Genomic DNA, 14,297 nt, shown 5'->3' with positions numbered 1-14,297 from the left:
CTCCCTGCTGGGAATCTTGTCAGCTTTTAGCGCAGCTCAGAGGAACTTCACCTTAGTGCTGTAAGAACCTGAGAGTCTGGCTCCTTGAGTGTGGGAGTCGGGTGATGTGGTGCCCTCCGGAGGTAGTGCTGGGACCTGGAATTCCTAGTTGTGTTACCTGGTGACATGGGCTTGAGTTGGAAGAGCTGCATTGAAATTCTATCTCTTTCATTAGCCGCTTTGTGCTTTTGCTTAACTTCACTGCTCTGAGCCCATCTCTAAGACTGAGGTGAGAATCATAGGCACTTCCACATTTTCACGCGCATCTGTGTGGAGTGCACATGGGAAAAGCTTGGCGCGGGGCAGGAGCTTAAATGTTGATTAAAGTGAAATGAAGGAACAAATGAAGGCATCTCTGGGTTGAACTCCCCTTCCTGTCCCGGCCACTGAGGGGCCCTGGGTGGGGCTGGGGCTGAGAGGCCAGGGAAAACTGGATTCACGAAGCTTGGACCTTGCCCCATCTTTCTCTTGACTTTCTCCTCGCCTTTCTTCTCTGCTTCTCTGTGTCCTTTGTCCCCTTTCTGTCGCGTCCCTTCTCTTCCAGTGGAAGTGCCTAACTCAGCACCTGGCCCCGACACACACAATTCATTGCTCCCTGCTCTCCTCAATGGCCTCTCTGTTGCTCCAGGCTCTGTCCCGCCACCCCCAGCTCCATCTCTTTCCTCCTTCTGGGTCTCTGTTTCTGACACCCTCTTTGTCCCATTCTCTCTGCTCCTGGCTCTCCTGCCATCTGTTTCTGCAGCCTCTGTCTGCAGCTCACAGGCATCCACTGGGCGCCTGCTCGATGCCAGGCACTGCCATCTCCTTTCTCGGTTCTGTATCTCCTCACCTCTTTTCTCCCTGTCTTCTTTTCTTGCTCCCCCACCCCTTCAGCCTCCTGCCCTCCCTCCCCCAAGTTCCATCGGGCTCCAAGGCTGGTATTATTCAGTTTTATGAGAAACCCCCAGGCCTACCCTTGAAGGGACCAACCGCAACTGGAACCAGATGTGCAATCCTGCATTGGGGTGGGAGGGAGGGAGGTAGGGACAAGGAGAGGAGCATGGGTTGGCTTAAGGAGGTGGGGAGGAGGCTGGGGATGGGAGGTGGAGACCCTGGGAACCCTGGTCCTCAGGGGCTTGGAAGGAAGAGTTGGGAGGAGGGAGCCAGGGGGCTGAGCAGACTTGTTCAGAGAGCAGTTTTTACTGTGTGTGTGTGTGTGTGTGTGTGTGAGAGAGAGAGAGAGAGAGAGAGAGAGAGAGAGCGATGGTGGAAATGACACTGGGGAGAGCTGAGGGTAGATGATGGGCTGCGGGACAGCTCTTAGAATTAAGGAGGAAAGCTGCTCTTTTTCTGTGAAATCCTCTAGCTTGTTGACTTCCTTTCTTAAGGTTTCAAGGGACTTGCTGGGTTTATAGTTCTATACCCAGGTGCTGGAGCAGGCAGGCTGGAAAGAGGGGTGATGATGGGGTAGGGGATGGATAGTGTAACCTCCAAAGTCTCCTGAGAGTGGCTGGAGGAGGGGTCTTCCAGGTCGCCCCGTCTCCCAGCCCAATCTGTCACAGACCTTTGTGGGATGTGTCTGGGATGTCCTGGGTCCTAGCAAAGCCTGTGTTTCTGCCTGCGATTATATAGCTTCAAAAATAAAAGTCTTCATATGAGTATCTTTGGTACAGCCTAGTGCTGTATTAAGCATTTTAAAATGCCCTTTGATTCAATCATGAACTGATTATCCATCCATCCATCTCTTCATCATTCATTTATTCATTCCACACTTATTGAGACTCTACTATGTGTCAGCCTTGTGCTGGGCACTGACCAAATGAGGAAAGGGGAAGGGAGACAATGAACAAATCCCTTATCGTTCCAAAAATGGGAGCCATAGAAGTGCACCTGACCCACTGCATGTCAGGGCGTTAGTGAGCCGCGGAAGCCCCAGGTGCTCAGAGGAGGGGACAGTGCCCACCAAGTGGTGAGTCTGGAGAAGGATCCAGGGAGGATGGCTTCTGAATTGAGCCCTGAATGCTGATAGGGAGGAGAGGGAATGGTGTACGAGAAAGGCCTGACCGTCAAAGTTGGAGGATGGAAGGAGACAAGGTTGGAAAGGCTGGGATGTTCCACTGCAGAGCTTGGACTGGAAGTAGCAGGCAGTGGGGAGCTGGGACGCTTTGATGTCCGTTGGGATAATACGGATGTGGGTTGGAAGGAAGAGAAGGGGAAGATGGAGGATTCTGCTGTTCCGGATACCTGCTAGTGGGAGGGGTTCTAATTTTATAGCACAATCCCCACATCCACCTCTAGAGAGCTGAAACTGACCCGGGATCCCCTAACTTCCCTCATCTAAGCAGAGCTGACCCAAGCCCCAGAGGAGCCCTTAGTCTGCAGTGGGGGTGGCAGGTAGGGGTTAAGGAGGATAATGTTGTTGGGGTCACCTTTGCCGTAGAGTTGGGACCAGTGAGTGGGAGACTTGGTTTGAGGCTGGGCCGACGGCTAGGGAGGACTAGGCCAAGTGTCCCCATAGTCCATCTGCTTTCACCATCCTTGCCATTTGTGGACAGCATCCACACTCTCACAGATTGAGGCTGCTGTTGAAGCTGGTGGGTTCTGGATGCTGGAATTTGGGACTCAGAACCCAGACCCTCTTTCCAGCTAGGAGAGGACGAAATCTTGCTCTGGAGGCAGAGGATGAGTGGAGCGATGCTTCTATCTCTGCCCTCCCCATATAAGGTCCTGAGAAGCTGTCCTTCTCTCCCCTATCCCCAAGGGTTTCATTGTCTCTGACTGGGGGCGAGGCAGCCCTCCAAAGTACTGGCCATCTCCCTGTGGCTCTGGCCCCACATGCTCCAAAATCATATCCCCTCTCAGGGACTCCCCTGTCATTGTACTTCTGGGGAAAACTGAAGCCTGGGGAAGGGTTTGGCTGAATTAATAAAATTAGTGTGTGTTAAGACCGGAAAAGTTCTTAAAGACCTTTCTGTCGCAGAGGAAACTGAGGCTCGGAGGTGCAGGCCACTGACCCAGATGCGGAAGAGAAGGAAGGGCCTTTCAACCTCTGGATGTCTGAGTGGTGTGGAGCTTGGCTGTGGAGCCAGCCAGGTTCAGGTGTGAGGTCCTCCGCACAGTCCTGCTTGGACTTCCACAAGTCACCTCTGTGCTCCGAGGTCACGATCTTCAGCTATAATAACCGGGTGATTAGAAGACTAAGTGAGAGTTAATAGTCTTTAGTGGCCAGCATCTGATAGGTGTGTAGCAAATAACTTTTCCCCTTCCTTTCTAAATAATCCTATCTGCTTCTTCACTTTTATCTTTCATATGGTGCTCTAAACTTTTCACATCACTTCCCCCATTATTTTTATCATGGAAAACTTCATGCATGTACAAAAGTTGAAATGATTATATGGTAAACTCCTACAATGAACACTTTGATATATTTGCTTTATCACATTTCTGCCAATCCATCTTATTTTTTGATCCATTTCAAAGAGAGTTGAAGCATGTATTTCATTAACTGGAGCTCAGCTTAAATGACTTTTGAATGTACAGTCACAAATGTCCTAACTCAGCCCAGAGAAAACAGCAGAGATTACTATCTCACATTTGACAGCTAAGAAAAAAGCAGGTTCAGAAGTGAGATTCCTGGCCTCCAGTCACAAAATGAGTTGGAAACAGCGGAAAGCAGAGTGCTGTAGAAAAGCTGAGAGTTGCTATATTATTATTATTATCATCATCACCATCTCAGCAAACATTCTTCTCCACCCAGAAGCCCTTTGGCCATTTCTCTGCACCTGCGTCTTTTCTATAGAGTCTTGACCCCTCCCTGCCCGCTTCCCCACCCCTGTCCCCCAAGCCTTCTGGCCCTTCCCGTCCTGTCCCCAGGGAAGCTGCTGGGCCAGTGGCTGAAGGAGGGGCAGCCACATTCCCTGGTGATCTCCTGCCCCAGGTGTCTGTGCCCTGACACGGCCTTCCCAGAGCCAGCTAGAGTGCAGCCAGCAGAGCACTGCAGGGGTTAAAGGAGGCCATGGCTGGCGGAGGGGGCCCACTGCTGGCTGGCTCCGGGAAGGAGGCGGTGCACTGTTGGCCCGCCCCCTGGGCTGGCCTGGGAGGGAACCCGACTAGCAGAGCCCTCTGCTCAGTTGCTCCCAGCAGTGGCCCTGGGACCAGCTCTGCTCCTTGCACCCCGCTCCCTGCCTGGACACAGGCTCACTCGCTGCCTTCTTCTGGGGGAAACCAGCTTCTTGCCAGCCACAGCTGCTGCCTCCGCCACTGGCCACCGCCCCTGTCCTGGGAGTCCCTTGGCCCAGACACCCACCTGACTTAGTGGCTCCTCTGCAGGAAAGGTGAGTGAATGAATGTGCGTGTGTGATGGTGTACGTGTGTGTGAGTGTGCGTGTTATATTTGTGTGTAGAGGGAAATGGAGCCGGCCAGGGCTGCTGGGCTGTTGATACTGATGCTGTCAAGACCACAGATCAGATTAGGAGAAGGTGAGGTCAGCCTGCCTGTTCCCATGTCTCTGGGTCAGGCAAGCTGTTCAGAGGCCAACCTTGTCAGTCCCCTGTCTTCAGATGTTTCTGTGGTTCTGGCAGGGATGTCTGGGGTGCGGCTTGTCCCTGCTCTGAGAGAGCAACCAGTCAGAAGGAGTTTCGTTTGCTGGGGAAGTTGCTGGTGTCAGTGGCTGCTTGGGACTGAGGCCAGCTACAGGAGTAGGGAGGGACACAGGGACCAAGGGAGGGGGAAGCTTGGGAGTCTCTTCTGCTACTTGCCTGCCCATTGCAGGGGGATGAGTATTTTTTCTTCTTCATCTCTTTCCCTGCCACCCACTTGAGCTGCTGTGAGGGCACCTTTCTTCTAGGGGCTCACTTAGCTCCCTGAGGTCTGACCTTGGCTGCAGGGAGGGGCTGGCAGGCCTGGCAAGGTTAGGGTTCAAAGCACTTTTCCCATCTCCACTCCTCAGTGTGGGCCCTGCTCCCTTGCCCATGGGCACAGACTGGCAGAAGTGCCCCCTCTGCCCTCTCCAACCACTAGCCCTTACTCCTTCCTCACCCCTCTGGGCAGAAATGGCTAATCCAGGTGGTTAATGAACAGACAGGGGCAGCTGCCTTCCCCCTGCTCCTCCCTCTCCCCCCACCCCTCCTGTCCTCTGACTCTGATGCCCTGCCTGCCACCCGTTCCCAGGCTGGAGAATCCATACAGAGCTGACCTCAGTGTCAGTCCCCCAACCCCCAATCCAGGACTTGGGCCAGGACTGCCTGCCCAGATGTTTTAGGCTGGCTACTGTTCTAGAAGAGGAAACTGGGTGGGGGTGATAGGGGGGACCCGGAGAAGCCTGCTGTGCTCCCAGGCTGGGCTCCCTGCAGGGGAGGGGATGGGGTTGGGGGATAGGATGGGTGCTGGGTGGGGAGGAGATGGAGGAGGAGGGCAGGCAGGCAGGCGGTTGTGGGGGTGAGAATAGGAGGGGGACCTGGAAACTAGGGTGCCAGGGTCTTTGGAGACAAGGGCTTCTCTTCTGGAAGTCCCAGCTGCCTCTTCAATGTGGCAGCAGTGGGGAAGGTGTAGGGGGAGCACCCTCTCTTCCCCTCCTGAAGCTGCCTGGGGTGGGTGGAGACCATGGTGGCTCACATGTGACCTCAAGTTGCACCTGCCCCTGCCAGCTGGTGGCCACTCCTGTAAGCCTGAATACAGCTCTCCTTGGACCTCAGTACTTGCTATAGCTGGGGCACCCCTTGCCTGAAACCTCTGGCCCAGGGTTGTGGAAGGGAGTGAGGGAGGATGTGGATTGAGATGGAGAGGTTGGGGGGAGAGACCCGAATGGGATCAGCACTGGAGACCCAACTTGGGGTTGGCTTGGACTCTGCTGCCCATGGAGGGCAGGGATTTGGAGAGCAGTGGGCTGGACCAGGCTGGGGAGGGTCTCGGCCAGTCCGGCCGAGCACCAGGGCTGGGAGCCAGCACTGTAACCAGGAGCTGAGGGTTCTTGGCGGTGGAGGAGGCAACCTGGGACCCTCTGCTTCCAGGCGCCTGGCCTTGAGCCCTTCTGGCTCTGCTTCCCCATCCCTCATCCCATGCTTCTTCACACTTCACTTCCCGCAAGGCCCCAGTGAAGAATTTCCCAGGGAGGTGGTGGTGTCCAGGAAGTATAAGCACAGAGAACCTGGTGGCCAGGTGGAGCGGGGCTGGGTTGGGATGCTTATGGGTTCAGAGAAGATGTTATTGTTTTGCAGACCAACTTCTGGCCTCTGATGGGCTGTGGCTGAAGCCTTGGAGTTTGGGGACCCTCAGGCTCCTGTTTCTACCCAGATAGGAGCAGGAGTCAAGGGGGGCCAGAAAGAACTTTTGTTTGGTCTAAGGGAGAGGAGCCTCAGAGGTGGAATCTTGGCTCAGGTGAAGGAAGAGCTTCCTAAGGACCCTGGTGGGTCAGCAGGAGGATGGGCTATCTTGTAAGGTGGAGAGCATCTTGTACTGGGGGGAGTTTAGACAGAGGCCGAATAAGGGCTTGGAAGGATTCCTGGGCTGGGATGTGGTTAGAGGCGATGACCTGGATGGTCTCTTGGGATGCTGAGGGCCTGGGATACTTGGAGTCGGGGAGTTCTCTGACACCAGAATGGGGGATCAGGAAGCTGTGTCCTCTGGCCTGGGGCGTGGGCGCAGACCACTCGCAGGGGCCCCCTCCTTCCTGCCAATGTGTAAGGAACCAAGAGCCCGACGCTCTGCCCTGGCACTGTGCCCCTCCCTCACACCCGTGGCTCAACTGCCTACCAGGTCCGCACCCAGCTGCTTCCTGCAAAGGTTCTGAGGTTCTTCCTATGCCTCCTGGCCCACTCTGCCCCTTGCCTGTGGTGGGCTGCGTGACAGTGTGGAGTTGAGGGGACAGCAAGCACCACAGGCTTCACCCCCAATCCCTGCAGTTAGAGCCCATGTTCCCTGTTGAGGGGCTCTGGGGCTGGTGTGCAAGGACCGGGGGTGGGTGCTGGGATGTTGGGCATCTTGAACCCCTGCCCAGTTTGGCCTCCCCAAAACAGGCCTCCCTAGCCAGCCTGGAGATAGTAGACCAAGGGCAGTGCCAGGATCTGAGATGCAGAAAAACTCAGGCATGGGTCTCATATGAGCCTCAGTTTCCACATTTGTAAATAATGCGGGTTGTCCGGGCAGCATCAAGTGGCTTGCATAACTGGCATGGGGTGAGGGGTGCAAGGCAAGGCAGTTGCTCTCAAGGGCCTCTTAGGAGGGTGAGTGGGGGAGGAGCAGTCACCTCTCACAGGCCTTTCCAAACCTGCTTTCCCTGAGGTGGGCAGTGAGAGGAGAACCAGAGAGGGCTGGGGCCAAAGCTTTCCCCAAACCAAACAGGTTTGGGCTTCCCATGATGGAAGTGCCCGTGAGTGCTTCCGGGTGGGCTTGAAACCCACCCTGGACTCCATCCTTCCTACACCAGCCAGCCTCCTCCACAGCCCCTCTGTGGATGCCTGTGCCCCCTTTTCTCCTGACCAGAGAGGGTGACACAGTAGGAGATTGAGATCACCCAACTCAACCACCGCCTCCGACCAGGGGAGCCCCCTCACAGTCTTGGTTTCATCTGAGAGGGAGGTCCTTTCCGATGTCTAACTCCAATCCTCTTCTCCAGTCAGGGACTACATGAAGTTGCTAAATGACGACACTCTTTCCTGGGGTTTGAAAGAGACTCAGTGATGGTGGGAGGGTTGTGCAGGGAAGGATCGGGAGACCTGAGTGTGCCGTGAGCCTGAGGCACCAGGGCAGGAGCGAGGGGGACAGGCAAAGGCTCTCGGCTGCCAGTGCCTCTGGTTTCTTGGCTCAGTTCTGGAGCCAAAAGCCTCTTTGACCCCAGGAAACTGAGGCCCAGTTGAGCGATATGTTTGGAGGTGGGGGGCAGAGGAGATAGGCAGGAAAGCCCTCCCAGTTACCAGCCTCCAAATAAAGCAAATCAGAAATGGGTGGAGGGAGAGGGTGGTTTTTGGAGACTGGGGTTTGGGAGGACTGGCCTAGACTTTGTCCCCCTTACTATCCACCAATGGCCCCTCGCTCAATAGCTCCCTGGCCAGATGGCTCTTAGCTTTCTAGGGCTGTTAGGCATGCAGAGGTGTGGGCATAAGTGAGCTGGGACAAGGAGGTGGGGGTGGCAGGGTGGCCAGCCTGGCAGGCTTTGCCCACATCCCCTGGTGACACTTCCATTATGCAAGGTCACACCGGCCCTTCCCTCTTTCCTTCCCTCCAATGGTCTGGAGCGCTTTCCCGTCCAGGAGGTTGCTGGACGCTAGAGAGCCCCAGTGCAGCCTCTACCCAGGTTGGTGGCCTTGGCCATCTTCCTACTTGCCCCACCTCAACTTCCCTCAAGGGGAGAGGCTTGTCTCTGTGGAGCTGGAGCCCATGTGGGAGGGGTGGTGGGTGGGCCTGAGCCAGTCCTTGGAGCTACCGCCTCCAGGGCTAGTCTGGGCTCTGCAGTCCCTGCCTTTTTAGGCCTGGAAGCCTGTAGCTCAGCCCTGGGTGTGGGAGACAGGAGGGACTGGACCAGCAAGGCGGGGGCCTGGGGAGCTGATGGGGGTCAGGGGTCACAGGAATGGCTGGGGGGAATTCTGGCCCTTTGGCCACTATGGGGCCCCAGACCTGGGTCCATTTCCCCCAGGGACCTTCCTAGACCTTCATCTTCTCCTGCAGAGAAGATGGGACCCCACAGCGTTCTGTGATCCTTGCAAGTTTCCCATTTGCTCACCTGTCTTCTGGATGGATTACAAGCTCCTTGAGGGCAGACCTGCACCTCTGGCCTCTCTGGTGATCCTTGCTGTGCTTGGCAGAGTGCCGCTCAACATGGATGGCTGGCTAATGGAGGGCAGAGGGGTGAGGGTTTTGATGAGGCCTGGTGAGGATTTGTTAGACTTGGACTGAGAGGTCTGTCTTGAGGCAGAGAATGTGAGTCTGGTGCCAGACTGCTGGGGATCAACTTATGATGACCCGGTTTACCAGCTGTGGTCTCAGCAAGTGACTGAACCTCTGTGAGCCTCAGTTTCCTCACTATCAAATGGGATAATGTCTGCTTCAAGGTATGGTTGTGAGGATCAAACGAGTTAATTTATTTAAAACACTTTGGGCGGTGTCTGGCACATAGCAGATGCTCAATGAAGGTTAGTTATTATTATTATTATTATTATTGGTGGTGGTGGTGATGGAGTTCTCTCTCTCTTGTCTTGTTGTTCCATCTCTAAGATGAAGAGAATTATGGGACCAGAGAGTGGAGAAGATGCTGGTGTCATTTTCCCTTAAGAGGTCCTAACATCAGATCCCAGGGAAGAATCTTCTCTTCCCCCACTCTGTCTCTCTCTGCAATTAGAGGGCAGACAGGGAGCTGAGCGGCCCTCCGGAGGTCTTGTCTGTTCAGGGAGCCCATGCAGATCTGTGTTTACAGAGGACTCTGAGAAAGTTGCCATCACTGTAAACAAGATGCATTATTATAAACCAGCCTGAGCTCCCCTTCTGGGATCCCATCCCATGCCTTGATGAGAGTCACAGAATCGGAGACTCCCAGGCTGAGCAAGGACCTCACCTGGCCTCCAGGAAGCCTGCCCTGGACCATGGGCTACACCCATAGATATGGCATCTACATTTTAAAGTAGGATCCCCAAATAACTGCTTCAAATTATTGTGTCTTATGCCCTCTAGGTCCCCCCAAAATCTAACTGGCATTCCTCTTGATGCAGCTTTAATTCAGTCCCTTGTTGGTAGTGGGTAGGGGAGAACCATGTCCACTCTTCCTGCATGCCATATAAGCTGAGAGCTTTGAACCCGTGCAAGGGTAGGGCTCCTGGCCACAATCCCTCTCTGTCCCAGGCCTCTGCCCTCTCTGGGGTCTCCTGTTTTCCGGTGCCCCTGACATTCCTCATTAGCAGGGGTCAGCCCTCAAGGCCTGCCAAGCTGTATTCTCCACCCAACGCAGTTCCCACCCAGGGAGGCTGGGGTTGCTCTGGGTCGGGGGTGAACTCCATTTCCGGACCCCTGGCCCGCCCAGTTGCAGCTGCAAAAGGCATTAAGCTTTTTTTTGGAGAAAGAATGGGCTTGGGTTGATGATGATGACAGCTGGGGAGTGTTCCTGAGCTCAGCCTGGCCCTATCTTGCTTCCCTTCCTTGGCCCCTGCTCACCTCTGCCCAATTTCTAGGCCATTTCTCATGTAGAGGTGGGCCTTATCTTTACCCCTTGACCTTGACCAGACCTGGACAATCAGCTGGTCTCCAGCCACCCTGTATGGGAGCAGTTTTTGTGTTCAGTCCTGGGCTTGGTGCTGGGTTAGGGGATAGGGGTGGGGAAGAGGGCTTCAGGGGAAGCGGAAAGAGGGGCTCCACCCTGGGTCCATCTGGGTGGGAGAGCAGTGCTCCTCAAGTGAGCAGATCTGAGTCTAGGCCTGGCTCTGTCCCTAGCCTCTGGAGGAGTCCCACCTGAGTCCCTTCTCTCGCTGGGCCTCAGTGCCCTCAACTGTAAATGAAGGGCTGAAAGGTGCAGGGGTGGGGGGTCTGTGAGTCCATCTCCCCGGGGCCTCTGCTGGGCGTCCCCCAGTCCCAACGCTGTGGAACTTCACCTTGGATTGACCTTGCTTCCCTCCCCGCCCTGCCCCCAACTCTGGCAGTCGCTGGCAGGAAGTCCTGCTGATTAGGGCCCTAATCACCGGCTGAGACTCCCAGAAATGGCAGAGCTGGTTGAGTGAGAGGGGCCGCCAAGCCAGGAAGGGGGGCTGGCATGGGGAGAAGCCTCCACCCAGGGACATGAGCTGGGGTTCGGGCTATGATTTGGGGGTGGCAGAGATGGGCCAGCCCCAGGGGTTGGCTCCTTGGGTCCGGGGCAGTGCCTGTGGACCCACTGTGGACGCTGTGCGGCAGCAGCTGAGTCCAGCTGGGCACACGGGGCCGCTGGATTGTTCACTTTAAAAGCCTTTGAGGGCATCCACCCTATGCCAGTTAAGGTGCTGGGTATGAGGCTGGAAAGACCGGGAGACACGATCTAGTGGGGGGAGTAGGGGAGTAGGGGAGTAGACAGAGTGTTGCTGCAAAACGCAGTGGGAATGTCAAGCAGGAGGCAGCTCATGTGAGCTGGCAGAGCGGAGGAAGCTTTGGAGAAGAGGTACCATTTGAGATGGATTTTGAAGTTTGGCAAGGAGTTTTGCGGGGAGGAAAAGGGGCAAAGACTTCTTCAGGCACAGGGGAAGGCATGTGCAGAGGCCCAGTGGCATGCAGGTAAGGAGAAATAACAAGCGTGGGTCTCCCTCCCAGCTCTGCTACATGGGTCTGAGCCTTAGTGTCTGCATCTGTAAAATAGGATTCATATTTCCAACCTTGTAGTGCTAGCGTGGGTATGAAATGAGATGCTATTTGTAAAGTTCTCAGCCCAGTGCCTGGCATGGAGCAAACCCACAGTATATGGAGGCTTAAAATGGCATGTGTGGGAAAGGATGGCTTTGGGGAGAGCCTGAAACTGTTGCTTGGGGCTCAAGATGGGGGGATATTCTGAGGCAGGTTAAAGAGGGGAGCGGCAGGGGATTTTAATACAGGGAAGACATGATGAGACTGTGATTTAGGAAGGGCATTTGGGCCACTGTGACGGCTGTACTGGGCAGGGGAGTCCTAGGGGCAGGCCTCAAGCCAGGGCCTGGGTTCCTGGAATCCTATGTTCAAATTCCTCAGCCCTGGGGCTGGAAAATCCTCTCCCAAGTCACTTCATCTCCCTGATCCCTCTGGGCTTCCTTCCAGCATACCATCCTCCCCTCCTGGATTGGGAGGCCAAGGAGGCCCCTGAAATCTCCTTCCTGGGAGATCTTTCAGGCCAGGAGAGAGCCATCCTTGGCAAGTCTTCACACGCAGCCCTGGGATGGATGAACTGCAGCAGGCAGGAGTGAGGGTAGACTGTAGGCAGCTTATATTTTTAAGGCACCGAGAGGATCCTTTGGGGGCCTCCTTTACCATCTGACCTGGAACACAGTAGCCCCTTACTGTTTGTTGAATGAATGAATGAATGAACGAACAGGAGTGTTCCCTGGTCAGGGTGGAGGAGCCTGATTGCTCGGAGGCAGCCATGCCCAGCCTGGCTCTACGTGGCCTGGTGAGTGCAGAGAGTGGCTGCCTGTCCAGAGCTAGATGGAATGTTGAGTGTCTCAAAGGCCAGGTGCCTGGCATGTCGCAGGTGGTCAGGGACTGTGTGTTGATGAAGAAGAGGGAATTTCAGCAGCGTTTATTTCCTAGAGCAATGACCTCTCATGAGGCAGTGTGATGTGGGGGTCACCTTCACAGTGTCTGCAGCCACACGGTCTGCATGTGAATCCTGACCCCATCTCTTGCAGGCTATATGACTATGAACAACTTACCTGACCTGCCAGTGCTTCCCTTTGCTCACCTGTAAAATGCAGGAAACAAATAGAGCGGGTCTGGCATGCAGGCTGTTCTGCATAAACCTTGGTGATTGTTATTGCTGTTTTTGTTATGGTTATTACTATTATTGATACAGTGGGAGAGAGTGGGGCTGGCAGCAGGGGTTTCTTGGCTGGGATGAGTGCAACTGCCCAGAGTGGGAGGGGAGAGCACAAGAGATAGATGAGGCTCCTCTGGAGGCTTAGAAGGAATTCGGTGGCTCACGAACTGCTTCCACCACCACACATGTGGCTGCCTCTGCTGTGGCCGGCTGAGCTAGGCCAAGCGTGGGAGTGGAGGCAGTGGTCAGGTCTGGATTCCAGGCTGGAGCCCTGGGAGAGCAGAGGCGAGCCAGGGTGAGGGGTGGGGGCTGGGGGAGGAGAGGTGATTGGAGAGGAGGCCATGACTCTCCCAAGTTCCCAGCTGGGACCCTAAGAATTCCTCCCATCATCTCCTGCCAGAGGGCCTGGCCCTTGAGCTCCAGAGCCTCCGGAGGGCCTGCAGTCCATCTCCCTGCCTCCTGGGCAGACTGTTCTGAGTAGGTGGCCTGGAGTCCAGTGCCCCTTCACTGTTGGAAAGTGATTCCTCCCCAGTAACCGCTGTCTGGCTGCAACTCCTTCCTCCCCCTCCTCACCCTGCCTTCAGATCTCCCGTCTTCAGCACTGCTTTGCAACAGGAGGGTGACAGAGTCAACTTCAGGGGCCTGCTCTGACTTGGGGCAGAGAGAGAGGTCTGTGTAGTGCCGCGGAAGGACCTGTGGCAGGGGCGTCAGGTGACCTGCTAGTCCCTTTTGGCACTGTGTGACTTCAGGCAAATTGCTTCCACTTTTTGGGCTTTGGTTTCCTCAATTGCGAAATGAGAAGTTCGAGTTAGGGGCGTTCTCTCTTTTCAGCAGTGCTGAAATTCTGTAAGTGCATGGATCTTTCTGAACAGAGAGGCTCCTAGTCTTGGGGCCTTTGGCAGAGCTGTCCAGCATCGAGGTGGGATCCTGTTGGCTCTTCAGGCATCTGCTGGGATGCCATCTGAAATGCTGGGGAGGTCCTTCCAGCACTGGAATTGGAACGTTCTTTGCCCAGTGACCACTCCTCCAGGCAGCTTGATTTCTTGGAACAGAGCAGAGGGCAACAGCTGTCAGGGTTGGGCTGGCCAGAATCTCCCGTCTCTGTCCCAGTGACTCAGGTGGGGATACGCTTGGCAGGATTGGAGCCAATGAAGCAAAGGAGGGGACTGGGGAAGATCTGCTGCCTGCCTTGGCCACCCAAAGGGAACAGAGTGGGAGGAAGTGATGTGCTGGGGATGGGGGTGCAGAGGCAAAGTGAGTAACAGTTGTGAGTAATGGCTCAGTGTCTCCACTGGGTAGGTGGCTCCTAGACTGCACAGAGCTGTCTGGGGCTCCGGAAATTCTCCCCGGAGGCCCAGCCACTGAATCACAGCAGCCTGAGCTCCTCCCTCCCTGTCCTCCTTAGGAGCTGGGGGTCCCGGCCAGCAGGGTGCCACACCTCATCCCCTCTGCCTCTCTGTGCTTCTCTGGATCAGCCCCTCCCATCACCTATGCCTTCACACCCCCTCAGCTCCATCGATGCTCTGTCTTGTCTTCCAAGCATCCAGGTGACTTGGCTTGCCTCAAGGAGTGTAGAATTTGCAGTCTGGCTGTCCTGGGTTTGAGTCCCAGCTCAACCACTCATCGCTGTGTGACCTTGGCCAACACATTTCTCCGCTGTAAGGTTCAGTAGCCTCATATGTGAAAAGAGGCTACTGCTTGTTGAATCTCTTGTTGGAAGGATTAAATGGGATAATCTGTATGAAGTACATGTTCTTTGTATGTGTTCAAATAATATGGTTGTCCCGAGCCCTAAACTCTGTTTTGCCCTTCCTCACCACCTCTGTC

At 55.2% G+C, this 14,297-nt stretch overlaps 1 protein-coding gene across 19 annotated transcripts in view, besides 4 other annotated features; it reads left to right on the top strand.

Annotated features, from left to right (window-relative positions):
• Positions 1–14,297, top strand: part of TNS1 (tensin 1) — a 234,192-nt gene that overhangs the window by 85,766 nt on the left and 134,129 nt on the right. For 3 of the 19 annotated variants that reach the window (NM_001308023.2, NM_022648.7, XM_024453081.2), the window contains exon 1: positions 4,147–4,352. The exons of 14 other annotated variants lie outside the window; for them this stretch is intronic. Coding sequence is in view for 2 of the 5 variants with exons in the window: in NM_001438867.1 (NP_001425796.1) it covers positions 11,237–11,242 (6 nt within the window). In the remaining 3 variants the exon portion in view is untranslated. Of the gene's footprint in view, positions 1–4,146; positions 4,353–10,671; positions 11,243–14,297 lie in introns of those variants that run through there. 2 more of the 19 variants (NM_001438867.1, XM_024453080.2) reach the window with 1 other exon arrangement.
• Positions 3,608–4,453: an enhancer, noted in NCBI's record as "H3K27ac-H3K4me1 hESC enhancer chr2:218808487-218809332 (GRCh37/hg19 assembly coordinates)". NCBI's record gives its function as "activates a minimal SCP1, AML or CMV promoter by ChIP-STARR-seq in naive H9 embryonic stem cells {active_cell/tissue: H9 hESC(naive)}" and the evidence as "EXISTENCE:reporter gene assay evidence [ECO:0000049][PMID:30033119]".
• Positions 9,377–11,769: an enhancer, noted in NCBI's record as "VISTA enhancer hs1764". NCBI's record gives its function as "enhancer in: branchial arch[7/9] | heart[7/9] | other[7/9]" and the evidence as "EXISTENCE:transgenic organism evidence [ECO:0001131][PMID:17130149]".
• Positions 12,726–13,235: an enhancer, noted in NCBI's record as "H3K4me1 hESC enhancer chr2:218799705-218800214 (GRCh37/hg19 assembly coordinates)". NCBI's record gives its function as "activates a minimal SCP1, AML or CMV promoter by ChIP-STARR-seq in primed H9 embryonic stem cells {active_cell/tissue: H9 hESC(primed)}" and the evidence as "EXISTENCE:reporter gene assay evidence [ECO:0000049][PMID:30033119]".
• Positions 13,236–13,744: an enhancer, noted in NCBI's record as "H3K4me1 hESC enhancer chr2:218799196-218799704 (GRCh37/hg19 assembly coordinates)". NCBI's record gives its function as "activates a minimal SCP1, AML or CMV promoter by ChIP-STARR-seq in primed H9 embryonic stem cells {active_cell/tissue: H9 hESC(primed)}" and the evidence as "EXISTENCE:reporter gene assay evidence [ECO:0000049][PMID:30033119]".

The sequence above is a fragment of the Homo sapiens genome, chromosome 2 (genome assembly GCF_000001405.40).
Source record: "Homo sapiens chromosome 2, GRCh38.p14 Primary Assembly".
Classification (NCBI taxonomy): Eukaryota; Metazoa; Chordata; class Mammalia; order Primates; family Hominidae; genus Homo; species Homo sapiens.
This window is presented reverse-complemented; position numbering and strand designations above follow the sequence as displayed.